This window comes from Homo sapiens, chromosome 16 (genome assembly GCF_000001405.40).
Source record: "Homo sapiens chromosome 16, GRCh38.p14 Primary Assembly".
Lineage (NCBI taxonomy): Eukaryota > Metazoa > Chordata > Mammalia > Primates > Hominidae > Homo > Homo sapiens.
In genome coordinates, this window is record NC_000016.10 from 6,531,507 (window position 1) to 6,559,370 (window position 27,864).

General features: G+C 41.6%; 1 protein-coding gene across 28 annotated transcripts in view, besides 4 other annotated features; it reads left to right on the forward strand.

Annotated features, from left to right (window-relative positions):
- RBFOX1 (RNA binding fox-1 homolog 1) overlaps positions 1-27,864 on the forward strand; it is a 2,473,620-nt gene that overhangs the window by 1,291,786 nt on the left and 1,153,970 nt on the right. The window lies entirely within an intron of this gene.
- Positions 25,859-26,763: an enhancer, noted in NCBI's record as "OCT4-NANOG-H3K27ac hESC enhancer chr16:6607366-6608270 (GRCh37/hg19 assembly coordinates)". NCBI's record gives its function as "activates a minimal SCP1, AML or CMV promoter by ChIP-STARR-seq in naive and primed H9 embryonic stem cells {active_cell/tissue: H9 hESC(naive and primed)}" and the evidence as "EXISTENCE:reporter gene assay evidence [ECO:0000049][PMID:30033119]".
- Positions 25,859-27,667: a biological region, named in NCBI's record as "OCT4-NANOG-H3K27ac hESC enhancers GRCh37_chr16:6607366-6608270 and GRCh37_chr16:6608271-6609174".
- Positions 26,642-26,936: a silencer, noted in NCBI's record as "tiled region #616; HepG2 Repressive non-DNase unmatched - State 24:Quies, and K562 Repressive non-DNase unmatched - State 24:Quies". NCBI's record gives its function as "represses a minimal TATA promoter and a strong SV40 promoter by Sharpr-MPRA in HepG2 and K562 cells {active_cell/tissue: HepG2 | K562}" and the evidence as "EXISTENCE:reporter gene assay evidence [ECO:0000049][PMID:27701403]".
- Positions 26,764-27,667: an enhancer, noted in NCBI's record as "OCT4-NANOG-H3K27ac hESC enhancer chr16:6608271-6609174 (GRCh37/hg19 assembly coordinates)". NCBI's record gives its function as "activates a minimal SCP1, AML or CMV promoter by ChIP-STARR-seq in naive and primed H9 embryonic stem cells {active_cell/tissue: H9 hESC(naive and primed)}" and the evidence as "EXISTENCE:reporter gene assay evidence [ECO:0000049][PMID:30033119]".

The following is a 27,864-nucleotide window of genomic DNA, read 5'->3' on the forward strand; positions in this document are numbered from 1 at the left end:
TATTTTTACTTTTCATAGTTTTTAATTTTAATATCATTGGCTTTTGGAAAATACCTATTGTTTTAAAACAGCTACCTAGGGTTTCAATAAAAGTGGCCTTAATGTTCTATTCCTCAGTGTACGAATGACCCATTCTCGGAGCATATGTTGTCTAGTAGCCCTTGTCCTGCCTTTCTAGGAGATAGAGTTTCTCATGGACCCAAACAGGGCTTCTTAATGGAGATTTATAACATCAAAAGGGATTACATGAGAACAAAGTAATTATCCTTCGTGTATGAGTATCAACCCAATTTACGAAGGAGTGAAATTAGACACTGCAGTTAATTACAGGGACAGTCTCAACTTTGTGGACCAATTAGGGCTCATTGGTTGCAAGCAACAGGAACCAATTCCCCTTCTACATTAAGCAAAAAGAATACTTATTAGCAGTAGTCAGTGAGCTTACAAAATTTAGAGGTAGTTGAAAAAGCAGTGTTGGTAGCATGACAGGCACCAAGCCACTGTGAGGTCTCCTCCATGGGAAGAAATGAATTCCAACTAAGTCTTCCGTCCATGTATCATTCTGCTCCAGTTCTGGATCCCAGAAGAGCACATCCCATTGGCCAGACTTAGGCAATACCTCCCCTTCTTGAGCTCACCCTGGCTGGGAGAGCTAAGATGTCAAAGAAAGTTCCTTTAGGAAACTCTTTATCTTCCAGAGTGGGAAGGCAAAGTACCCAATGTATGGTCTTACAAAGGCTGCATAAAATGGGGGAGCTGTAACTTCTCTTGGGTACTCTTAGGAAAAGGAAGCACCAACCAGTGAGCAAGTGATCTCCATTCCCTTTTCATAGAGAAGGTCGATTTCTATCCTCTTGCCTGGAGGGTTTCAGAGCTGCCCTAGGCTGTACTCCACTCCAGGGTGGCCCTCAGAGACCATTACTGTTTCCTCATTTCTTGAATGTATGGAGGACCCTCCAGTTACTTTCTGCTTTAAGGCGATGTTTATTAAACATTGTTTCTATTAGGGCTGTGCTCCTTCCTCTGTACCCTTTAAATATTCATCTCCCTCATGCTGCCATCCCCTTCATGGAGATCATTCCTGCAGAGCGGTAGTCCAGTTTGCTCTACTTCCTGGTGATCGTCTCTTCTCGAGATTTCTTCCTGCACATGCACACTCTGGACTGTGCACTTTTCTGCTCTGGATTCCTCTCCTGGACAGTTGCACTGGACTCCATTCCCATTTGTCTGAGCTTAGGGTTTATGTCTTTTTAGGGCATTTACCGTCCCCACTCCTGTGTTACCGTCTCTCTGTGCTCCTAGCATGTACACATTGTGGAATGTGAGAAGGCAAAGATCTCAGACTTTCCATGTGAATTGAAGACCCTTCTCTGGCCCCTTGAGTGCCAGTGTCACCAACACCACTGGTCACTCTCCTCTCACTTTCTACCTGTACAAAGGACAGTCTCCCAGTGTCCCTGTGGAACATTGTGATTACTCGAAGTTGTCCTAGCTACTTGGGAATGAGTCCTAAGAAGATTCATCTTACTTCTGATGCATCACATGCTCTGTGTTGCAAAGCACACTTGGCATAGCCAGGAGCATCCTAGGTTGGCCTAGTGCTAGATGGCAGGCATTGAAAACTGTCAACACCAGTACAGGAACAGGAAAGACAAACCATGGAACTAGATGAGACCCTGATACTGAGTTGTGGACAGATCAACTATAGTGATACAGGATTCTTGATTGTCTGCAACAGAGAACTTTTCTAAGTAACCTATGCACATGATAATTTGATTTGAATGCTTTTGGGGAGAATGCAGTATCATCAGGAAAATTTGAGAACCTGGCTCAGAAAATAGACAAAAGGGATGAAGGTACCATTAGGATCCCTGGGTAGAAACTCCCTGCTAAGGATGCTGTTACCAGCACTGTGATCACTGCCACGTGGCACCACCAGCATCCATAGTCCTGAACACAGAGCAGTGGTTCTGGACTCTACACTTGACACAGCCTCCAGGGATGGTGCTTGATTGATCCTGTGCTTTTACCTAGCCCCTTAAGACCCAAGACATATGGTAACATACAGAGTCAAGTGATTTTTTTTTTTTCCTTGAAAAAGCACCAGTGCAATTTGAGGAGGAAAAGCAAGTCTTTTCAACAAATAATCCTGGACCTACTGGATGCTGGAATGGAAACATTTAACTCAGATCCATGTTTTCCATCGTAGACACAAATTAACTGAAGATAGGTTGCAGACCTGACTACAAAAGCAAACACTCGAAAGCCCCTGGAAGGGAACATAAACATCTGCCTTTGAAAACTGAGCATGGTCAACATTTTCCCAGATAAAACACAGTACGTACTAAACATAAAAGAGAAGTTTGACAGACTTCCTCAAAATTAAAAACTTTGTCCCATAAAAAGACATTAAGAGAATGAAAAGTCAAGCTGCAAGGAGGAAATATAACAATGTATATTATATATATGTGTGTATATATACACACACACATACACACATATACATACATACACAAAGAGCTGTGGCTCTGGACTTAAATATTTTATCAAGAGAAATGAAAACATATCTGCACATAAGGCTTCTTCAGAGATGCTCATTGCATGTTTATTTGCAATGGCAAAAGAAGAAAAAAGGGAAATTACCCAAACATCCATCAATAAATGAATGCATAAGTAAGTTGTATAGTCACTCAATGAAATGCTATCCAGCAATAAAAAGAAATGAATTGCTGACAAGGACATCAGTGTGTATGTGTGTGTGTGTGTGTGTGTGCATATGCGTATGTGTATAACATACTCAGCAAGAGAAGTTATCCACCAAAGAGTCCATGCTTTATGGTTCTAGTTTTATGAAGCTGACGAACAGGAGAAATTGGCCTATGGGGATGGAATTCAGGATAGTGATTGTCTTTCACCCGCTAAGATGCCTCTTCAGTTTCTACCCAAAGACTTCATATATATTTACCTCTAGGCTGTCCACAAAATGGAGATGTGTGAATCATGCTTTTCATGCCATTGGGAAAGGACATCCTGTTCACAGCAGAGGTGATACAGGAGCATTAATCACCAAATGTTTAGTAAATATTGATACCCGGGTGATTTACACTAATCGTCACAAGACCGCAATCTACCTTTTATATAAATGCAATAAAAAAATCTTGGTTATAAAAGTACTTGCTTCCTTTGCATTTTTTCTGCTGGGGGAGAAGCACAGAATGCAAAGAGGGAGAAGGGAATTTTCTAAGGAGATGGCATTTCTATGCACTTTGACTGGGGTACTGGTTCATGTATATGTGTGTGTTGGCAAAACACCATGGAACTGTATACTTAAGATCTGTGCAGTTCATGTAATTACACATGAATGACCATGAAAAGTCCAATGAGGCATATCCTAGTGGTCAAGCCTGGTCATATGTGCGCATTCAACATACAGAAAACTTGTTTGGTTTCTGTAGCAGGAGGTATGAGCTTTCTGCAAATACAAATGGTATTTGAAGGAAGGACAGTCATTCATGACACAGGTCTGCTACAGCATTGGATTCCGCATCCTGCAGCAAAAGCCAGGTTGGGACCATGGTTGGGATGAGATTCCATGGGAACAAGCCAGGAGTGAACAACTGCAGTTAGAGTGGAAAACGTGTGCTGGTTTGTCTGGGACTTTTTCTGTGTGAGCACTCAAAGTCTCATGTCCTGGGAAAATCCTCTGTTCTAAGCCAACTGGGAGAGTTGGTCACCTTCTTTCCAGCCAGAGCTCTGTCTAAAGTTACATCTGATGGAGAAATTGAGGGATCACACTGGAAAAAGTGAACCCAGAGATTTACTTTGAAGCTCCTCTGGGTATGAGGTCAGTGTGGGATAATTGTCATGGACGAAGATTCACTAGAAGTCTCACAAGCCCTGCCACCCTAAATCACATCAGAAAAGAACCCCTATGCATTTTCTTTTCATACCACCCAACATCCTAAAACCATCAGCTTAGTGTTTTCACTCCCATTCCCTATAAACTCCATGTGGTTTGTTCACATGTCAGGTTTATTCGTCAGTGTATCTTTAGCACATGTAAATGGCTGTCACAAATGCTTAAATGATTCAGTGAATGATTGAATGATTCAATGAATGATCCCATCCATCAACCGTTGCTCCAGGCTTCTTGTAAAGACCAGGATCCTGACCCATGGACATTTTTGAGGCTTTAAGCCACAGCCCTTCGAGCAAGGGCTGGAAGGAAGCCTCTTTCATCTTTCTCTGGGGCTATCACAACCAGCATATGTGTATTTAATTAGTCACTGCCTATTTTTATATGTTACACAAGCTCAGTTTCTCCCTCTCTGTTCTCTTTTTCTCAATAGTGGCAATGTAGATTTTTTAAAGTTTATTTTTCAGTTTCTTCCCTTTTCCTGCAGTCTCCCTCTAGAGATGACACTGACTTTAAACTTTGACCCACTAAGATGCCTCTTTAGTTTCTATCCAACGACTTCATATATATCTATCTCTAGGCTATCCACAAAATGGAGATGTGTGATTCATGCTTTTCATGCCTTTGGGAATGGACATCTTGTTCATAGCAGAGGTGATACAGGAGTATTAATTACCAATGCTTAGTAAGTATTGATACCCAGGTGATTTACACAAATCATCACAAGACCACAATCATCACAAGACTACAGTCTACCTCTTGTATAAATGCAACCCAAAAATCTTGAATTATAAACTTACTTGCTTCCTTGGACTTCAGATAAATCTCTAGTATCCTCAAGAGTCTTTGAATACTTTCCTGTCTCCAGCAAATCTCGTGGGAAGGAAAAAAATAGATATCACTTTGCAATTTATGTTTTTACCAGCATGCAATTGAGTAGATTCAATTGACTCCAAATGTTTTGCACATTCTAATTTCTGTCCCCTATTGTCCTCCCCTGTTGACTTCAAGTTAATGCATAATATGATATGGGACATCCCTCATAAATTCCGTATCATCAGAGTAATGTGGCTTTGATGATGTACTGCATTTTAAATTAGCTCTGTCACAAAAGGACGATGGGGGGCCCAGGAGGTTTTTTTTTTCTTTCTAATTTTCCTTCTGTTCTTGAAGTGTGATAAGTCTAATTATAGTTGGCAGCAAACAGAAGTGTTTCTTCAGCTAGTATGGCTTGTGAGGGTTCTTGGATTGCTATGATATCTTCAGATTTTTATAGTAGGTGTCTTAGACCCAACAAGTCAAGATGGCTTCTAAGTGGAAAGGTTTTAAAAGATTAAAGAGAGATTAACAATACAAGAAGTTAGTAACATTGATCTGTCATGGCCAAGTTCAGTGGTGCATTCCTGTGGCTTATTTTACTCATGGGAATTAAATAATGATAACATTTTCAGAATCTTAGAATAATTTGGAGAAGAGGATATGACATATCTAAATTATGTGTATACAAAGTAATTTTTGTTTCTTCTAATACTCTACTAGTCTAAGGGGATTCCTTCCTATCCATTGTCTTTTCTGGGGAAAGAAACCAAATGTACAGTCCTACGTACGGTAGGAAGAATAGCTATAGCTCCTCTCAGCTCTGGTATAGGAAACATGCTCTAATGAATTTTCCTTCCAGCGTTCCATACCAGTGTTTCTCAAGCTTTTAGTGAGCACAGGGATCTTTCCAGGAATCTTCCTACAATGCATATTCTGTTTCGTAGGTCTGGGTGGAGCCTGAGATTCGGCACTTCTAATAAGCTTCCAGGTGTTGTTCCTGATGCCGGTTCGTGCACCAGAATATGAACAGCAATATTTTATAGGGTGTTAAGCAACAGAAATGTATTTGTACGTGGATGTCTCTGCAATAGAATTGCATCCAGAGGAGAAATGAAATAGCTTACAATTATGGATGAATTGTGTAGGTATTCATATAGAATAGCTAACATAAATGGAGCCATGCGTGTATTATTTAACACTCACAACAGTATAGATAGACACAGTGCTTATCTCCATGACAGAGTTGAGGGGCTATAAGCTTACAGATGTTTAGTGATGTGATCGAGTTGCTGAGCTAACACTCAGTGGAGTTTGAACCCAGGCAGTATGATTTCAGAGACCACGCTGAAGTATCTGTACTGCTCATGGACTGTTGCCCTGAAATGCAGTTTATTTGTCTGAAGTGTAATGTCTGGAGTTTTTTGCATCTTCATCATTATAAACCTCTTACAAATATTAATTGAGTTCCTTAGGCCATTCCTTAAGGTTTTATAGCAGATAAGAGAAGATAATGTGGTTCCAACTGAAGACCACCAAATAGTGCTCACTGGTAGCTGAAATTCAGGAAATGATTTACATATCCAGCAGGAGTGATTTTCTTTATATATAGAAAAATATATTTAAATTGAGTTAAATCATTATCTGTAGTAATTATAGCTGAATGGAAGAACCGGCCTAAAGAGCAAGATTTTTTTTTTTAATAAAAAGGATATCCTAGGAACTCTACAGTGATTTGCAGATTAATTCTATCTTTGTTTATATTTCTACTTTCAAACTTTTTTATTCAGGTAAAATTCACATAATATAAAATACAGATACATAATATAAAATTATATAAATATAAAATTATGTGAATTGTAAACTGTACAATTCAAGGACATTAGATTCACAATGCTGTGCAATGATTACCTCCAATAAGCATGTGGAAATATGCTCAACACCATTAGTCATTAGAGAAATGCAAATCAGGCCAGGCATGGAGGCTCATACCTGTAATCCCAGTACTTGGGAGGCCAAGGCAGGAAGAGTCCTTGAACACAAGAGTTTTATACCAGCCTGGGCAGCACAGGGAGACCTCATCTCTACAGAAAATAAAAATAAATTAGCTGAGTGTGGTGGCACACATCTGTGGTCCCAGCTACTTGGGTGGCTGAGGTGGGAGGATCACTTGAGCCTGTGAGGCCGAGGCTGCAGTGAGTGGTGATTGCGCTACTGCACTCTAGCCTGGGCAACAGAGCAAATCTGTATCTCAAAACAAAAAAGCAAAAAATGCATATGAAAATCATGAGGAGACATCATGCCACACCCACTAGGATGACAAGTAATAATAATAGTAATAACAGAAGGTAACAAATGTTGTCCAGGCTGTGGAGAAACTGAAATTCTCAAATATTGCTGGTTGGATTGCAGAATGGCACACCTGCTGTAGAAAACGGTTTGGGAGTTAAACCAAGGTAAACACAGAATTCTCACTAACTTTTGACGACTGAATGTGTTTGCCTTTTTCCAGCTGTTGGTTGTTTTTTTTCATGGCTTCTTCCAGGGCCTCTGTCTTGTTTGCTAATATGCGGTTCTTTGTCCTGTATCCATTCAGTAGCCAATGTAAAATGGTGCCAAACTTACTATTTTAGATTGAAGGGATTAGCTCCTCTTTCCAGTGATTTTACCATTGTCTGTTCTTAGCTGGTGCCAGGTTGGAAAGGGAAGAGTTGTTGGCTGGTTTGTTGGTGTTTTTACCTCCAGGTACTGTGTCATTCCAATGTTATTTTTACTGTCTCATGTGGAGTGTCCTATATGATTTGAATAAAAGTCCCACTCCATTGCTGTCTCTGCAAGGCTGACTCCTTTGACCCTGGCAGAAAGAACAGTTGATGATATTTGGTGAAAAAAAAAAAGAAAATTTGCCCATGGTATGACTGTTCTTCTCCTTGGCGGGAAACTTCTACTTGAATCATTGTGCAGTATGATGGAGGCACTTATAGGTTTAAACCCTAATTATGCCACTTGGTAGTGTGTATAAGCATGGGCAGGTCCTTCAATTTCCTTGTGCCTCTGTTTTCCCAAATAAATCATGGAATAGTACTTACAGAAATGGCTAATGATTAAATAAGATAATGCAGGAAAGCATTTAGCGTAGCATCTGGCACACAGCAGCACTCCACATCAACGCTGGCTGTTATTGTATTATTATCATGGTTACTTCTGTCCTAGTTTTTACTCTATTACATAGTTTGGGTCTATTTGCACAATATACTTCTTTAAAACACACACGTACAGTCAGGTGCAGTGGCTCACACCTATAATCCCAGCACATTGGGAGGCTGAGGCAGGCAGATCACCTAAGGTCGGGAGTTCAAGACCAGCCTGCCCTACATGGTGGAACCCCATCTCTACTAAAAATACAAAAATTAGCCATGCCTGGTGGCCAGCACCTGTAGTCCCAGCTCCACGGGAGGCTGAGGCAGGAGAATTGCTTGAACCTGGGAAATGGAGGTTGCAGTGAGCTGAGATCGTGCCACTGCACTCCAGCCTAGGCGGCAGACTGAGGCTGCATCTCAAAACACAGACACACACACACACACACACACACACACACAGACTTTAGAATTATCTCATTGTCTTCCTACAAGCTGTCTTTTTGCTTCTGCATGAACTTTTAAACCTTCTCCACCAAGGCAAGGTAACTTTAAATGGTTTTCCCCACAGATAGCCAGCCAATGAAAAAATTACCAATGTCTTAACAGAAAGGAACTTTGTTACTTTCAGGTATACACAGCAACCCTGCAGTTCAACAGTCTCTGTCCTGGGTAGGGCCTCACGTGACTTGACTTTGATGAAATAGAGAAGCAGGCTGCCCTCTGTCAGTTGAAGAACCCATGTTTTTAGCATAATGACCTGATTCTGTATGTGGCTTGGGGAATCCTATTTGTGAATCTGAGGTCTATCTTTATGTTAATGATTCTTCATTACTTTAACATTCTTGAAAGTAGGTTTTGGCCTTAGAATTTGTGCAATTCTCCCTCAATTGTTCTTTATTCGTAGATAGCCATCATATAAGCTGGCTGGCTGTAAAAAAAAAAAACTCAACTCAGGCCTAGCGTGGTGGCTCACACTTGTAATCCCAGCACTTTGGGAGGCTGAGCTGGGTGGGTTACAAGGTCAGGAGATCGAGACTATCCTGGCCAACATGGTAAAACCCCATCTCTACTAAAAATACAAAAATTAGCCAGGTGTGGTGGCATGCGCATGTAGTCCTAGCTACTCAGGAGGCTGAGGCAGGAAAATCGCTTGAACCTGGGAGGCCGAGGTTGCAGTGAGCCGAGATTGCACCACTGTACTCCAGTCTGGGCAACAGAGCGAGACTCTGTCTCAAAAAAAAAAAAAAAAAAAAAAAAAAACCTCAAGTCAGTCTCTGTACAGACGTTTCAAGAATGCCTAATCTGTGGTGTCTGTGTTGACAAATTCTTATACAATGCTTTAAACATATTCAGATTTTAAATTTTATTAACTTACCTAATTATTCACTTAAAGTAACTCTTTAAAAAGACTGGCTTATCTTACTCTAGCTGTACTTTTTTTTGCTAGTGAAACTACCAGTGGATTACTTTATCTCAGATTGTATTCATCATATTTCTCCATTATAAATCCGTTAAAATGTCGTTTCTCTGACTTCTTGGAGTTGAGGTCTGGGATTATCTGCTATCAGAGGAAATTCCTGCCAGAACCCCCTAGACATTTCCACATTGCAAAGCAGCACGAAGAGCAAGCATGAGTGAATCAAGTTCTTATATAAAGAGGGATCCTAGGATAATGCTACTTTTAGAGATGGAAAAGCTCTAAGATATTTCCAAGTAAAAGAAACCTGTGTTTCAGAGAGGGAAAATAACCTGAGTGTTCACAGTGAGTTGGTAGTAGGACACAGATGAGAACTCTTTCATTCTATGCGGTAATGGCTCTAGGTCCTCCTGTCTTAGGCTCTGAAGGGAGACAGACTGTAGTCTCTCCTGGAATAGCCCGGGAAGGAACTTTGACATGAAGATATTCAACCTCCCAATGGTAGAAATAGGTGACTCTGGCATTCATTCATTCATGTAACAAGTATTTATGGAGCACTTACCCAATGCCAGACACTGTTCTAAACAGAGGTTATGGCAGTGAGCAGCACTGGACAGTTCCCTGCTCACATGGAGTTGGTCACAGTGCAGGGATCAGACAGTGAATAGGTAAGTCAGTGATCTGCCGAGAAAGATGACAACAGTGTCACATCAGGGTGACGTAGTAGTACCTGAGATAGGGCATAGTGAATGGAATATTTTTTCTAAGCGCAATGGAAAGTCACTGTAGAGTTTTAAATAGAGGAGGGATAGGATATGACTTATGTTTTAAAAATCTCAGTGACACCTAGGTGGAAATTTAATTGTAGGAAGAGCAAGAATATCAATTCTGGGCAAATGCTGTAGGTCAGAGATGATGGTAGCTGCTAAGATAGTAGCTGTGGGCAGGAGCTAATGATAGAGGAAGGATACTGGACATAAATATGAGGACTAGACCCTAGACTTAGTGGAAGAGGTGAGCGAAAAAGACTTACAAACAACTTTAATGGTTCAGCTTGAGCATCTGAACAGATTAACCCAAAGAGTTTACATCAGGCTCTGTGCAGCAGGTAGTGTTCACTGCTTTAGTGTTCATTGATTTACATCTCCCCCTTTTTTTTTTTAATTAAAGAGATTAGGTCTCACTCTGTCACCCTTGCTGGAGTGCAGTAGAATGATCATAGCTCACTGCAGCCTCAAACCTCCCATCTCAGCCTCCCGAGTAGCTGGGACTACAGGTGTGCACCATCACACAGAGATAACTTTTTTTTCTTTAGAGACAGGCTATTGCTATGTTGCCCAGCCTCGTCTCAAACTCCTGGCCTCAAGTGATCTTCCTGCGTCTGCCTCTCAAAGTGCTGGGATTACAGGTGTGAGCTACTTTGCCCCACCAACATCTATTTTAAAAATAATCTTGAGATCTATAAGCCATTCCTGACCAGAGGTCAGATACTTATCTGTTTCTTTTCTCTTTCTTGAGTAGCACCTCACACAGGGCTGGATTGTGGGGTGTTCTAAATGCAGGGGTGAGGCAGGTGTACTGGAGGGTTTTACCCCATGTGTGCTTTCCTCTGAGCTCAACAACTGCAGCTAAGAAAGGTGTCTCAGTGGATAATCGCATGATCCACTGCCCTGTGTGGGACCATAGTCTTTTTTTTTTTTTTTTTTTTTTTTGAGCAGGAGTCTTGCTCTGTCACCCAGGCTGGAGTGCAGTGGCCTTTTCTCGGCTCACTGCAAGCTCCGCCTCCTGGGTTCACGCCATTCTCCTGCCTCAGCCTGGCAAGTAGCTGGGACCACAGGCGCCCGCCACCATGCCTGGCGGCTAATTTTTTGTATTTTTAGTAGAGACGGGGTTTCACTGTGTTAGCCAGGATGGTGTTGATCTCCTGACCTCGTGATCTGCCTGCCTCGGCCCCCAGAAGTGCTGGGATTACAGGTGTGAACCACTGCGCCCGGCCGGGACCACAGTCTTAAGACGCTGGCTCTGCCTTCCTGGGTGCCACAGTTACCATCTTTTGTAAGTCTGTAAACTTCATTGGCCTGGCATTGACTTCCTCTGGGTACATTAGTGGGGACCACACCGTGCTGAGTCACAGTTAGAAGGGGCGTCTGTCTTCACAGTGCGGCATCACTCTTATCCTGGATGCCCTACTCTTTATCATTCCTCCTCCTCTCACTCTCCCTCCCCAGGGCCACACTATCGTTTGGCAGTAATCACATCCAAGCCAATTTTGATCAATAGTTTTGTTCATTTCAAATGGAAATAAGCTCCGTGTTTAGCAGATAAGGAGAGTTACACTCAAAATGTGGCACATTTGTACCCCATCCCTTAGGTGGAACATGGCAGGATTCTTCAGGAGGGAAGAGGATGCACTAGGCTTAATGTTTAACATTCTTTGGATGGCGTCTCCTCCATGCCACCGTTAGCTGTGAGCTCAGCAACTCTGGGAATTGGAACAGTTGCCCCTCCTTGAGACTCTTTACTGCTTGTGACTTGACACAATGGAAGGGCAGATTTCCACTGAGTCTCTACTCGGTGGCTTCTCAAAGACTTCCACTGAGACTCTGCGCACCTTTATTGGGTTGGCCTGATTCAAGCCTGCTTGCAGAGGCATTTTCTTTCTTGACTCTGACATGTGGCTCAGTTTGGGAACCCACTTGTTCCCTCTCTGAGATCTTTCCGCCTGCATTTTGGGCTTTGCGCTTTTTATACCTTACTGTGGCTCCAAGAAGGCCTTTACTGCTGCTTTGGGTTGTTTTGCTGTTGTTTTGTTTTCCACTTAGATGCCCTCCCGGTCTGGAAGATTTTTGCCTGGTTGGAAAGAGGCACCTTGGCAGGGGAGGAGAGAGGAGAACCTACGGGATTATGTGGAAGTCTTTCCCCGAGGTTCACACCGAAGCATCTTAGAAGGGTTAGAATCTCTTTCTAAACACTTAGTAAGACACGTTTTCTGAAGTGTCACTACAGAGTCTACCCTGGCAGAAGAAGCCACATCTTTCCAGATACACCTGCATGAAAAAAACCAAAAGAAGAAGAAGGGGAACCCAGGAAGGATAACACGAGATAGAAAGGCCATCTTGGCATTTGGGGAATAAAAAGTATAAGGGCATTTTGCTTTTAAATCTAAGAAAGGTATAAAGAGGAGAAATGTTGAAAAGCACCTTGTCTCTGGTTTCTTATGTTTGCCAAATATTAGCAAGTACCTGAGATGCTCTTCTAGGTGTCTGTCTTGTGTGCCATCTGGCCCATGAGCTGTTTGAGATGGGAGAGTATCTTATCTGTCTTTGCATCCCCAGCACCAGTAGATTGAACCGAGTAACTTCCACGGTGCTCATCCCAGGGGCAACAGGCCCTGTTGAACAGGCATTCACTTTATGGTACTTGGACCACACTTGGTGGGGAAAGAGGTACTTCTTGGCCACCACAGGTGTGGTTGCAAGAAATTAGCCTCATAACTTTGAATGGATTCAAATCAAGCATATCTAGAGCATAGCAGAAGTGTCATCAATGGTGGAAAACCACCTTTTCCCCTCTTGCAATCTGAGGAACACCTGGCAAACATTTCCACCTAAATTAGTTCTTGGCTTCACTGGTCCAGCTTAGTTGAACGGATGTTCTGGGAGGCACTGTAATTTCCTGTTTTGTAGGATCTCATAGGAAATTTTTCATGTGAATTCAACTCTGATCTCTTCATTATTGATTATATGCAACTCTTGGTATTGTTTTCTCTTAGCATTCGATCGTATTGATTCAAATGCTGTTTTCATTAACTTCATGGGTGCATATAAGAGACTGGATGGATTTGAGGATCATAACTTCAGTTTCGCTGACTGCGTATCCACCCCATACTAACTGTGGGACTCTATATAAGTTTGTCTTTTCAAACCTCAGTTTCCTTGTTTGTCACATGGAGATGATAACACTCCTCTCTCAAAGATATTGTGAAAATTGAATGATGCTGAGCACGTAGATTAGTCAGCGAAGGGTACCCACGACCAGTGATATTATGATGGGGCTTGATCCAAGTTGGAATCCGTTACCTTTGCCCAGTACCATTGTTTGCACATGTCTGCTTTTTATGATTATTAGTTAAGAGTTTATTTTCTTACAGAGGATTAGGCAAAGGGTGATTAAGCATAGGTTATTCAGTTTAAACTAATAAATCTTTTTTTTATAGGCTGACCATCTGTCAGGGAAGTGGCAGAAGGCATTCCAATAGGACTGAGTTGAATTAAATTGGGAGATAAAAGTAATAACAATGGCTTTCCTCCAAATGATATCTAAAAATCCGCGTACTTTTTCCCTAGCGCCATTTTTGCCACTTTAATCCAAACTACCCGCATCTGGACTACAAGCCTCCTAACTGGTCTCCCTCTTTTCCTTGCCTTCAGATCCAATCTTTTTGTAATAGGTTGATCCTTTTAATATTCAAAACAGGTTACCTTTCCCCATCTTTTCCCCCTCCTGGCCTTCAATAAAAACCCAAACGTAAAATAAAAACGGATAACTTGGCCTGTAATCCCAGTTTCATCTGGCCTCTTGCCTTTCTCTCCAACCCCTCTCTCTCTTTCTCTCCAGGCCATCATTCTTAGGGCTTTCAACACCCTGTCCTCCATGTCATTTCTGTTGCAGCCTTGGAGACGTGTGCCTCTCCTTCTGCCAGAGGATGCCTCCTGTCGTGGTCACTTGGCAAGGTCCACTCTTATGTCACATCTCGGTTTAGACTCTGCAGAAACGCAATTCCCAACCCCTCCGATAACTACTCTCCACCCCAAAGATCTCACTGTACTAATTGCAGATTTATTGATGTGGTGCTTGTTAAGTTACTCACCATGGTGTCCCCAGAACCCATGTTAGTGGCATTGCTGAATAAAAGGTGCTTCAAACTACGAAGGGCTTATAATGTGCATTTTCCCACTTGAGGCTGATGGCATCTTTGTGAGGAAGGCATATAGTGGACAGCCTCAAAGCTATAGGAGAGTAATCTAAAGCCCACTCTGGTGAAAACTTGGAAATGTTAAGAATAGGGTTTGAATCCCAGGTGTCTGATGCCAGGCCTAAAGCTCTTTCAACTTGAGTACTGCACGTGCTAGATAGTCTCTGTGTACTGTTGTCTAAAACAGGGATTTGCAATCTTTTGGCTTCTCTGGGCCACTTTGGAAGAAGAAGAATTGTCTTGGGCTCTAAATAAAATACACAAACACTAACAATAGCTGATGAACTATTAAAAAATCACAGAAAAAGATTATAATGTTTTAAGAAAGTTTATGAATTTGTGTTAGGCTACATTCAAAGGCATCTTGGGCCACATGTGACCTGTGGGCCATGGGTTGGACAAGCTTGGCCTAAAAACGTATTGTTTGTCTAGGTAGGGTCATGATTCATGAAGCTATTGAGCAAGCATTTTCATGGCACTCATATCGCCTGTCAGACTTTGTCCCAAGTGCATTGTAAGCTCTTCCTTGCCTAATCTGCACAAAGACCTTGTAAGATAGGGTATTAGTTAGTATCACAAACTGGGTGGCTAAAAATGACAGACATTTATTGCCTCACCATTCTGGGCCAAGGAGCCCAAAGTCAGGGTGTCAGCTGGGTCATGCTCCCTCTGAAACCTGTAAGGGAATTCTGCCTTGCTTCTTTTGACTCCTGGAGTAATGGCACTCTCTGGCATATTGTGATTGGCAGCTCCATAGCACCTCTGTCTGCTTCTACTTTCATGTGGCATTCTCCCTGGCTCTTTTCACATCATCTTCCTTCTGTCTGTGTCTGTCTTTGTGTCCACATTTCTCCTTCTTATAAGGACACATCCACCTTACTGACCTCATCTTAATTTGATTCCTTTCTGTAGATTCTTTTTGCAAACAAGGTCACATTACCAGGTACCTGAGGTTAAGGGTTTATCTGTCTTTTTGAGGGGACATGATTTAACCCCTAGCGGATACATATCCTATTCCATTTTCACAAATGGGGTCATAGGCTCCATAATAGGACCAAAGATTCTGAGCTTGCCATTGGCAATGACAAGTTCAAACACAGATCATGCCTCCGAAGTCCATGCTTGGTTTGTGGACCACACAGTTTTCAAACCCTTAAATCAAAGTGTGGTCCGTAGATTCAATTAACTTTCAAAAAGTGAAGTAGGGCTCTTTTTCTTGACTCAAAGTGAGCTTAGCCAGGAGAGGCAGATTTTTAAAGTGCCTGAGCATGCGTATTATTACTAGCTTTGCCTGCTGAAGCAGAAATGTGTTCTTCCCCTGCCCAACTCTATTGCATTGAGAATAAAGTATCTGGCGCTCTTTTACTAAGATGCAAGCCATTCTTCATTTTAATTGGTGGGGAAACGTTTATTATAAAATGCTCTTCCCCCAGAATAGTTCCCTAAAGTGGCATATAGTATCTGTTTTTTCTTCCTCCTCTTTCTTCCTGGGAATCATTACCAGCCCCGGCTGGTGATTTATAATCACATTCCCAACAAATTTCACTGTTGTTAATGACTACTTATTTTCTATACAAATGATTTTTGCTCTCCTTCCTGAGGATAATTAACTAAGAAACTGGTAATAAATTACTGATAATGATCAGTTTGTCAGAGATGATTGTCGAATGGTGCCATCTTCCATAGTAACTAGATAAAGTATCTTTAATTGCTGATAACAGAACAGACAAATTGTGGTTCTTTTTTTTGTTGTTGTTGTTATTGAGATATTCATGAAATCTTCCTCCTGGAAGTCAGGCAGAATAACACCTTTTTTCTCTGTCTCCTGAGGGAGGGGAAAAGGAAGAAACAGTCATGACTTACAGACTTCTAGAAATATAGTAAATGTGATCGCTTTTTGAGGTTTGTAATAAGATAGCTGATCTTTGTAAAGCAGAGATCAGAGAAAATCTACTCTGGGATACATTTCGTTTAGACCAGGGGTCCTTCCTGGTCATGTGTGATTTTTTTTTTTCTCTCAAAATGTCATCTTTCCTATTTGCATCTAAACCTTGGCCTTCAAATGTGACTTCTTTGAACTCTGGAAAGGAATAGTATTTAATTCACAGTGTTTCTCACGGTTAGGATGCTGACTAAACCCCAGACTGCAAGCGAGGCTGTGAAAGACCCTTAGCTGGGAAACGTAGAGAAGACCTATGACAATGGATGTACACTGAAAGTCCTTTAATCATAGCCCTTATTATCTATTTTCTTATTGACAAGCTCAGACTATTCATCGTAGTAAGAATTGCAGGACCTACTATTAACTTCAGTTCTTTGAAGGATACACATATTTCACATACTGAAGGCTGGTTTACATTTAATCCAGTTAAATGTGTCACTTTACTGACATGCCTTGAATATTGTGAGTCTTGGGTATTGCCATCCTTTATTTATAATCTCCATCAGTCTTGTAAACTTTTGTTTTGTTTTGCTAGATGTCAGCAACTGTCAAAAAAGCTATAGTGTCCGAGATCATTTGAATCATTTTGGCAGTTTAGAAAACAGAGTGGTGCTTAAAAGAATAGAAATGAGAATTCCAAAGGCGGAGGTCTCAATATCAAATTGTTGGGGGGTATGTAGTGTCTCTTTGGGCTTTTTAGGTTTTGTTATGAGAAGGGAAGGCACAACCAGCATAGAATTAGAATGTACAAGGTTACAAGGATGTTTACACACTGATTTCTTCAGAATTTCTTCAGTTCCAAGTGAAAAAAGAAATTTTTTTAAGTTTCAAGTAAGCTCTCCAGGTAGTCACAGGGATGACAAAGATACAAATAAAACACGAATAAACTTTCAAATAAGCTGAAGGAAAAAAGAATTAAATTATAGAACTGGGAAGCACACGGGGTAGACTTCAGGCGCGGTTGAGTCAGAAGATTTCACGATGTCGCAAGAACTCTGATTCTCTCAGATCTGCTTCCTCTCTTGGTACCAGGCATCGTTAGGTTTCTTCCACACGTAGTCTTCGAGAAGTTAGCATCCTTGGCTGGGTGCAGTGGCTTGCGCCTGTAATCCTAGCACTTTGGGAGGCCAAGGTGTGTGGATCACTTGAGGTCAGGAGTTGGAGACCAGCCTGGCCAACATGGCGAAACCCCATCTCTACTAAAAGTACAAAAATTAGCTGGGCATGGTGGCGGCGCCTGTAATCCCAGGTACTCAAGTGGCTGAGGCAGGAGATTCACTTGAACCCTGGAGGTGGAGGTTGCAGTGAGCTGAGATCATGCCACTGCACTCCAGCCTGGGCAACAGAGCAAGACTCTGTCCCCAAAAAAGGGAGGAGGGAAGAGGAGGCGGGGAGGAAAGAGAAGGAAGAGGGGAGGAAGGAGGAGGAGGAGGGAAGGAGGAGGGGGGGGGAAGGAGGAGGAGGGGAGGTGGGAGGAGGAGGAGGGGAAAAGGGAGGAGGAGGGGAGGAGGGAGGAAGAGGGGAGGAGGGAGTAGGAGGAGGGAGGAGGAGGAGAGGAGGGAGGAGGAGGAGGGAGGAGTAGGAGGGAGGAGGGAAAAGGAGGAGGGGAGGAGGGAGGAGGAGGGGTGGAGGAGGAGGGGAGGAGGGAAGGAGGAGGAGGGGAAAAAGGAGGGGACGAGGGAGGGAGGAGGAGGAGGGAGGAGGAGGAGGAGGGGAGGAGGGAGGAGGAGGAGGGAGGAGGGAAAAGGAAGTGGGGAGGAGGGAGGAGGAGGGGAAGAGGAAGAGGAGGAGGGGAAGAGGAGGAGGAGAGGAGGGAGGAGGAGGAGGGGAGGAGGAGGATGGGAGGAGGGGAGGAAGGGAGGAAGGAGGAGGAAAGCATTCACTTGAAGATACTGCAGCAAATTGTAGGGAAGGCTTTGATTGGCTAATTTGAGTCATGTGCCTACTTCTGAGCAAATCCCTAGACGATAGGGCTGGAGTCTTCTGAGTGGCTGGTCTCCAGCCTCATGACCTACAGAGTAAGGTAAGAATGAGGGGAATACAGCTCTGACTAAATGAAATAGGCAGATGTAGAATGGGGCAAGGGTGGTTTTCCAAAGTAAAAGATTTTAGGTCGATCCTAAAACAAAAGGAAACACAAGCACACAGTAGTAGAGAGACCTTCTCATGGACCCTTACGTACTTTGACTACTACCCAGCTCAGTTTGCTCTGCTTACCAGTTCACAGATGCTTTCTTTGGCTGGCTTTGCTTTTACAGTGGATTTTCTGACACTTTTTGAACATTGTCTAAGAGGGGTGACAGTTTCAAATCCACCCAAGAAGTGGACACCATTCCATACTTTATGACTGAATCTAAAATGCTGTTCACTTGTGCCTCCAGCTGAAACATTTTTCTCTTCGCTCTGTTTGGAGTCCCTCTCCCTCCCCTCTCTCTATCTCTCACTGTTCTTCATGGTACACTTCTTTTTTGGGGGTTGGCGGGGGGACAGAGTCTTACTCTGTCGCCCAGACTGGAGTGTAGTGGCGTGATCTCAGCTCACTGCAACCTCCGCCTCCCAGGTTCAACAATTCTCTTGCCTCAACCTTCCAAACAGCTGGGTCTACAGGTGTGTGCCACCAGGCCCAGCTAATTTTTATATTTTCATTACAGACAAGCCTTCACCATGTTGACCAGGCTGGTCTCCAGTTCATGGCCTCCAATTCGTGGCCTCAAGTGATCTGTTCACCTAGGCCTCCCAAAGTGCTGGGATTATAGGCGTCTGCCACCATGCCCACCTAATTTTCGTGTTTTCAGTAGAGACGGGGTTTCATGATGTTGACCAAGCTGGTGTTGGACTCCTGACCTCAAGTGATGCACCTGCCTCAGCCTCCCAAAGTGCTGGGATTACAGGCATGTGCCACTGTGCCCAGCCTTCATGGCACACTTCTAATTCTTTCCTTCTTCATGAGCTTTTTCCAGCATGAGCCAAAATCAATTTCTTCTTCTGCATCCCCACTGAAATTGTTATACTTCATAAAATACTTTGTACCTACTTCAGTTTTAGTTTCTAAGAATTTATGTCTTTCTTGAGAAACAGAGTACTGTTTTGTGATTCTTGCTTCGGCACTTCACATTGATTAGAACAATGCCTGGCCCTAAATAGATATTTAATTCTGGTGAGTTCTTCCCAGACAAGTCTAAAGGAGGGTGTGAATACTCGGGCAACTCAAGTTATCATCATTTGGGTCTGGCTGTGTTCACTTATGGGAATACAAGTGTGGGCATTAATAGTTTGGAGGAGCACAGGAGAACAGTGAGCTGACTGCAGAGGAGGAGATGGATTTTGTTTCTCTTGGGGGCCCCAGGAATTTTGCCTCCTGGACCCATTTTATGTGATAATGGCTCTGCGTTTTGGGTTACAGAGCTCAACTCTCTGAGATTAACACAAAGCAAAGGGCTTCCCTGTATGTCTATATAGATCTAGCCCAACTCAGGATAAGCAGCTTCTCACTAATTCAGCAAATGTTGTGTAGCATCAGCTATGTGTTGGACACATGTAATGAGTAAATACATATGTGACTGCTGCCCTCATGGTTGGAGCTTTGCTACTGGGATGGTCTAGTCTGGGGCTGCCTCTTATTACCAGCGGCATCTCAGACTAGTTATTCAACAACTGTGTGCCTAAATTTTCCTGCCTGTAAAATGGGAATAAAGAGATACTTCACAGAGCTATTGTGAAAACTAAAGGATCGTATAATTTTACGCTGTCTAACATAAGTAACCATTTAGCAAATGACAGCTATTACTTGTAGCTATTGGCTCATGAAGTCTGCAGGCTGGTAGCACACACATTCATCAAGTGATAATATTTAAAATGTAAATTATGACATAATTGATCTGAAGGGGAGGTGCTTGGTGTTAAGAACACTTAAAATAAGGAATTCTGTAAAAGCTTGCCTGGGAATGTGTAGCTAATATAGCTACAGATAAGACTATTAAAAGATTAGAGCCAAAATGAATAATGTATCCATGTCTGATGATTGATAATAAGGCAGCAGTTGTGGACAGCTGAGATGGTCCTTTTCCAACCGGGACGTCAGAGCTACTGTGATTATCATGCCAATTACATCTCACATTCTGCCAAGGTGGTTCTTCTCTCTCAGTGCGTTGGTCATTTCAGAGTGGGAAAAGCCTTCAGCTCAGTGTCCTTCAGGATCCAGTCTACTCTTTAAATTTTTGAGAGTTATTTGGATTTCAGAAGGATTTGCCTCTCATCTTCTAGTCATATCCCATTACCAGTCAATTCAGAACATCTATTAGTTCAGCAGGAGAGGAAAGGATGAATTTCCATGCCTCCCACCTTTGCTTGGTAACAGGTTATGCTTTTAGAAATCACTTCATGACCTACTGCTTCCTGCTGGGACAATAATGTTCTTGTGTGTGGCTAAGCTATGCCCACATTTTTAAAAGTTGGAACACATCTAGTAAATATACATACCTTTGAAAGTCCTCATTTAAGCTGAATTAGACCAGTGAATAGAGTAATAATGAAAGTATTTGAAGGAGGGCAACCCCTTTTCTTTAAAAGGAAAGAGAATAACTAATATCAGGAAACCAATCATACCAGTGAATCAGAGCCCAGTTTTGGGGACTGAAAGACTCAGGGTGAAATTGCTGTGACTCCTTGGGCTAGTCTCTGTAGTTCTCAGAAACTCAGTAATGTCATCTGTAAAATGGAATAATAATGCCCAATTCATGTGTTTGTAGTGAAGATTGAAGGAGATACTACCTGCAAAGTATTCAGATGTTTGCCTGGTCTATGGTAATTGCCGAATAAATGTTACCTGTTATCCCAGTGTTGTGTGCATTGATGGCAATGATAAACAACAATACTTGAGGAATTTTGAGGTTTGATTCATCATTCTTTTACCTTCTGAAATTTGGCATCCTTGGAAAATGGAAAAAGAAACAAAATTTGTATATTCCTTTTGTTGCAGAAATGGGTAATTATGTGATATACACATACATATGTGTGTACATTTTATACCAAAAATTATATAGAAAATGTACACACATATAAATACACATACAATTATATGTGGTATGTATGAATGTATTATGTGTAAGATATATATTATAAATATATAATATAGAGTATGTCTGGCAGTATATTCTGTTTTGTGTTATACATAATATAACAAAATGTATGTTATTAGATTACATAGATTTCTGGTATCTATGTTACAATCTTTTCTAATTAAAAATTTTTTAAAAAGTATCTAAAGAAAAAGCATCAGCTGCCCCCTGCAAGTTCTCTGAGGACTGGCTTTTATTATTATTTGTTTTGACACTTCAGTGGCAGCAACTTCCAGTTACAGCCAGAGTCTCAGTATGTAATCCCGTGGAAACGTCCCTAGGTAACAGGATGTGCCCACTGGTCATGGAAGTCAGTTCTGTTAAACAGGGAGGATTTTATCTGTCTGAATAAATATTTCTGCAGCTCTTCTCACGCTATGGATTTGAGATGTGAACAGGCAAGAAGGGTCATCACTATAAATCAATAGTTTCCATGAAGTTGCCACCGATTTAGAGCAGACAGCAGCTTTTGGGTTGAAATAAAGATCGTGAAGTGCAGACGTAGGCAGCAAATGCTGGGGATAATGTGTGGAGTGTATAGGACTATTCAGTGAACGTCTATCAAGGATGGATAGAAAGGAGAATGCTCTTTTTGAGATAAGTTAGCTAATCGATAATTGGCAAGGGAAACATGGAAATACTTGGTGGAAATTGATGCCACCTACACCAATCCACACAAGTACATGCACCTCAAACCTACCACCCAATATCCAATTGTCACCAAGTCTATCTAATCACATCTTACTCACCTTTGTGCTACTCACAAGTTGCCATGGAGGTGAGAGTAGACGCGGTGGGGATGGACGATCTCTCTCAGGACAGGATGATAGAAAAGGAAGAAAAGAAGATTTGTTTTAAGGATGGGCCACTTCTATGAATGGTTGGAAGAATGGAGGAGAGAAGGACAGCAAAAGGTGATAGGAGAGGTGGCAGGTGAACCAGGGAGGGACAGTTTCCTAAAGGGTAGAAGGAATTTCATGGAGACAGCAACCCGTGGATGGTGCCAAATCTCATCATGAATTGACAAGAGTCCTTGGACTTACCTTCCTGGGAGTCGGTTTTATAGATTTTGCACAACTTTGTACCTAAATCATTCCCAACAATTAAGTGTGAGTTCCCAGAGGGCAGGTACCAGGGTTTATTCATTTTGGAAACCCCAGGGTCTGGCAGACATATTAGGGATGAATAAATGTGTTTTGAAAGTATGAATGAATGAATGAATGGATAAATAAGTGCTGGCCTTAACATAACAGTTTAATGTCTGTGCAAAATGAAAATAACAAAGTGTTAAAGAAGTAATTAGAAATTGGCAAAATGGGGCACAAGAAACCATCTTACATATGTGGTAGCTCTAGGGGTTTAAGAAATAACATCCCTTTATTTCCCTACTGAGTAAGAACCAATGGAGAAAGAAGCTGGGCAGGAAGGCAAAAGGAAATAAACAATCTTCTTTCATTTAGCCTAATGTTTTTAAGGTTCTGCTCCCATCCCCGTGAAGTGTTGGGAATAGGCAAGTCTATAGAGATGCGAAGTAGATTAGTAATTGCCTAGGGATGGAGCGTGGACTGCAAATGTGCACGAGGCTTCCCTCCCGGGGTAATAAAAAAAAAGTTCTAAAATTAAATTGTGGTGATAATGGCACCACTGTGTGAATATACTGAAAGCTACTGAATCGTGTACCCTGAATTAGTGAATTTTATGGTTTATGAACTCTATCTCAATAAAACTGGTTTTCTAAACAAGAAAACAAAAAGGTTTCCGCTTATTAAATAAACCCAAATTTAAAGGTATGGCCGAATGGGCTTGCTTGTACTCTCCTGATTTGTGCAGACTTGTCCATCAGTCACTGAAAGTGTGGAAATCTTCAGTCCATCCTCTGGCCTCCAGTAGACACAGACACACACACACACACACACACACACACACACAGACACACACACAAAGGTACACAGACACACACACAGACACACACAGATAAACACACAGACACACAGACACACACAGACTCTCCCTCTCACTCTCGCTCTGTCGCTCTCTCTCTCACTCATGAGTGCTGTAGCTGAGAAAGAAGCCCAGAGTATGCTTTTTCTGCCAGCTGGAGAATTTGACCTAGGGCTAAGTGACTAGCCTGAGTACATCCAGGTTCTTTTCCCAAAGGAACCAATTTGATAAACCATTCCTTCTTAGCATGGAGGAATGAGAAGCTGGGGAGAGGCCCAGAATATTATGCTAGAAAAATTCTTGCACATGGAAACACAGGGAAGGAGGATAAGGGGGTGCCTCCATTCTTATGTCTCATACTTTTTATGTCCAGTAGTGTCTGCATTTCTATCATAAATACTCTTTTAAAATCAGGAGTCCTAGACCAGAGAATGTTCCCTGCATTCCATATCAGGTAAGATCCAAGTATACAAAGCCTGTCTCTTTAATTAATTTCCTTTCACCCAAATCCTATCCATTGGGCATGATCAATAGTTATAAAACCCATCATTTCCAGTGTTATGGTAATGCGAAAGCTTGATGAAATATGGGTTTGACCACACAGTAGTCAGAAGTCTAGTTCTTCATGTATTAAAGGATACCATTCCAGCTGGGCACGGTGGCTCACACCTGTAATCCCAGCACTTTGGGAGGCGGAGACAGGCGGATCACGAGGTCAGGAGATCGAGACCATCCTGGCTAACACAGTGAAACCCCGTCTCTACTAAAAAATACAAAAAATTAGCCGGGCGTGGTGGCGGGCGCCTGTAGTCCCAGCTACTCAGGAGGCTGAGGCAGGAGAATGGCGTGAATCCGGGAGGCAGAGCTTGCCGTGAGCCAAGATCATGCCACTGCACTCCAGCCTGGGCGACAGAGCTAGACTCTGTCTGAAAAAAAAACAAAACAAAACAAACAAACAAAAAAGATATCATTCCATCTATTGTGTGTTTATCTCTGTTTAGTTACGCACTTGTGTGTAGTTGCATTGACATTTAGGCAGACTTGCCTATTCTAGACATTTTCTTACTATGAAATGCACGTGACTAGCACAGTGTCTGGTTATTAGTCAATTCTCATTAAATATTGGCTGCATAAGGGATGGGGATCATAGGCATTCGGAATATAGGAGGATCGACTCTATTCTGGCATTATTGGATGAAAGGGGTTCTTTATTGGAACCGACTACATTTTTTTGTCCTTGGTAATATTAGTCTTACTTTGAGGCACTAGGGCATTTTGAGACTAGTGAAACTCCCATGGCCTTCAGAATTATAATTTAAATCTTCTATTCCTCCAGAACTCAGGACATTTAATTTATCATGATTCATAAAAGACCAGTAATAAACCCTGTCTTTATTTAAACGTGGGCGGCATTGACTTCCCGCTGTAGGAATTGGGTGTTCTTTATCAACGTCTCTCTATCTACTTATCACGGATCCTGCATGTGTACAAAAAGGCATCTTTGTCAGTCAGGGGGAGATTTTATTAACTAAAGGTTCATTTGTTCTTCAAGTGACACTATCTCTTTGGAATTACCAGATGTTGTTCAAACTGTGCCGGCTCTCCTTTTATTCTGATGATGGCAAATGTTGAATGTGGTGAATAAATATTGGGCACTGTCCTCGGTCATCTCAAATAAATGTGATAAAATGAAAACATGTCGCCTCTGAGGTCTCATTTGTTCCCAGGAAGTCCACGGCGCATTAAGGCCCACAGACAATGAAAGACGAATCAGCCATTCACTGGGTATTCCATTATGAGACATTCTTGTCATTTTCCAGATTGAATTTTAGATTAATATATAGCCTGAGATAAGATGGCATGTATTGAGATGATGCCACAGTGCCATGGCCAAATTGTTTTGTTATAATCACATGATATAGAGAATTAAATGTATTGTGATGATCTGCCGTAGAAATTTGCATTTAAAAGAAAAAGTGGCAGAAAATAAATTAATAGTAAATTTCTTATGACTTAGACCTGAAGAGGCTCATGTGACTGCAGGTGTTATGTTTTGACCCTTCTTTGCTACCATGGCAAGACTGGTGACTGTCTTCTGAGGAGAAGTAGAGGAGATTTCACTTAACTGGATGATCACAGAGTTGAGGTTTTTGTCATCCATTGCTGAGCCATGTATTAAATATTCATTATATATATAAATATACACACATACGTATATATACATACATATATATACATATATATACATATATATACATATATACACATATATATACATATATATACATATATACATACATATATACATATATACATACATATACATATATACATACATATATACATATATACATACATATACATATATACATATATACACACATATATATACACATATATATATATACATATATATAATAAAAAAGTGGGAAAGAACAATCTGGCAAAACAGACATTTTGGAATCACCATGCCCTTCTTTTTCGGGTGATGCATGACACCCATGAATTAAGATTTAAAAGAGGATATAAAGCAGAATCTTGCTTTCACAGTGGGGAGAAGAACTTATGAATGCTTTGAAAATAATTGCTAAGAATTATACTCAAATCGTATTACATCAAGAAATGGAGATGTGAACCAGACTGGGACAGTACGATTTCACAATAACAGCCACAATTTCTCTAATTTATTACATTGTCATCTGTCTTGTGATTTAACATCCTTTTTCACAGTCTGCAGTAATATATGGAATTACTAAAAGTTGGCGGCTGTCTGACGTTCAGAAATGTTGAAAGAAATGAAGTATTTCTGTGGGTGTTGCCGAAGTCCTGTTGAAAGGGTAGTTAAGTATCGCTGATTAATTCCCATTCTATCTCTGATGAAATGGAGAAGGGGAAAATGCTCCTTTCGACCAAGTATCTCATTGCAAACTGCAGCCCAGAAGTTGCATAAGCATTTTCCTTCTTCGGTATAAATTGATTTGCTGTGAAAAATTTCAGACGGTTCCATGTCAAGGCAATGTTTTATTTCGTGGTGCAGGACAAATGTAGAGCTAAGTAGATTTGTAGGCTAATTTATTGGTCATTTTAATATTGTGTATTCTCCCCTTTGGTGTGTTAAGTACTTCCCCAATGCTTCTTCAGCGATATACTGCTTATGGCATGCCCAACTCATCTTAATTAAATTCTTTCTTGCCACAACCTCATTTTTGCTCATGGGATACATTGCTGTCACTGTGAAACATTTTCTAGGAAAATTGAGATCTATTTTTCATAAATTAGGCTCTTTTTTAAGGCTCTCTATGTTAGTCACTTAAATTAATATTAAGTTATTATGTACTCCAAATCAGTGCTTTATAAGTCTTTCAAAAAATATCGGTTGCCCAGAAGCCTGGGAGGAGTGCGATAGAGCTGGAGCGTAACGTGCAGGTGTGTTGGGTTAGTGATGGGTGAAATGACTCTATGTGGCTCGTCCCCACCTCCCATTGTTAGAGGCAATCAGAGAAAGCATTTTGCAAATCGAGAATAAGAAAGAGGCCTTACAGAGCATGTTGCCGCTGCTGCTGCTGCTCCTGGCACCCCTGCTGAGATCAGCTCAGTGCAGTCTTCTCTTTTAGAAAGAGGAGAAGAGTTTATCCTGAACTGTGCATTTTTTAGTTTTAGAAAACATGGATTTCCTGACAGGAAATGGGAAGCTTTTTGAACTGTATGACTTGAGTCATCTGTCACGTTGGAAGGACATTGGAAAAATCAGCCTCCTGATGTAGAACTTTGTCATGACTTTCAAAAGTTTCCCTACAAATTGACACATGGGGCTTTTGGCTTTTGTCCTGGGGATATGGCAGTTGTCATGTCAATGTCTAGAAAAATTGTCCCTTATAACCAAAGATGGCTAATTAAACAAAACAAAACGCCCAAACAGGTGCTTATTCATTCCCTCCGTCCGTCCCACTCTCACACAGGTAAAGAACGTGTTTCAGCTAAGATGATTAACATGCTTCCCCCACCCCCACCCCCTGACTTAAATCCTCAAGCCCACTAGCTCTTGCCTTACCGCCATGCTGACTTTTACTTCCCCAAACATACCCAGCTCCTCCTGAGTGGGACGTTGTGAGCATTCTGCTCCCTCTGTCTGGAATGTGCCCCTCCTGCCTCACCACAACCTTTGCAGAGTTAGCTTTTACTTCTCCTTTCACTCTCTACTCAAAAATGCCGCTTCCTCCAGGAAAGTCTTTCCTGGAATTCCCACCCCTAATGCAACTCCAACTCCCTAGGATAGATGAGAATATGTCTGTATTTGGTCTCATAGTTCCTTGTACTTTTCCTCCAGTTTATATATACATATGTGTGTGTGTGTGTGTGTGTGTATATACATATGTGTATATATATGACTGTTTGTGTGTACATATATATATACACAAACACACACTCACATAGTCACATGTCATGTCAATGTCTAGATAAGTTGTGCCTTATAACCAAAAGTGTCTAATTAGACAAAACACCCAAACAGGGGTTTATTCATTCTCTCAGTCTATTTCTCTCACATATATTTAGAACATGTATATGTATGTGTGTATATGTGTGTATATATACACACACA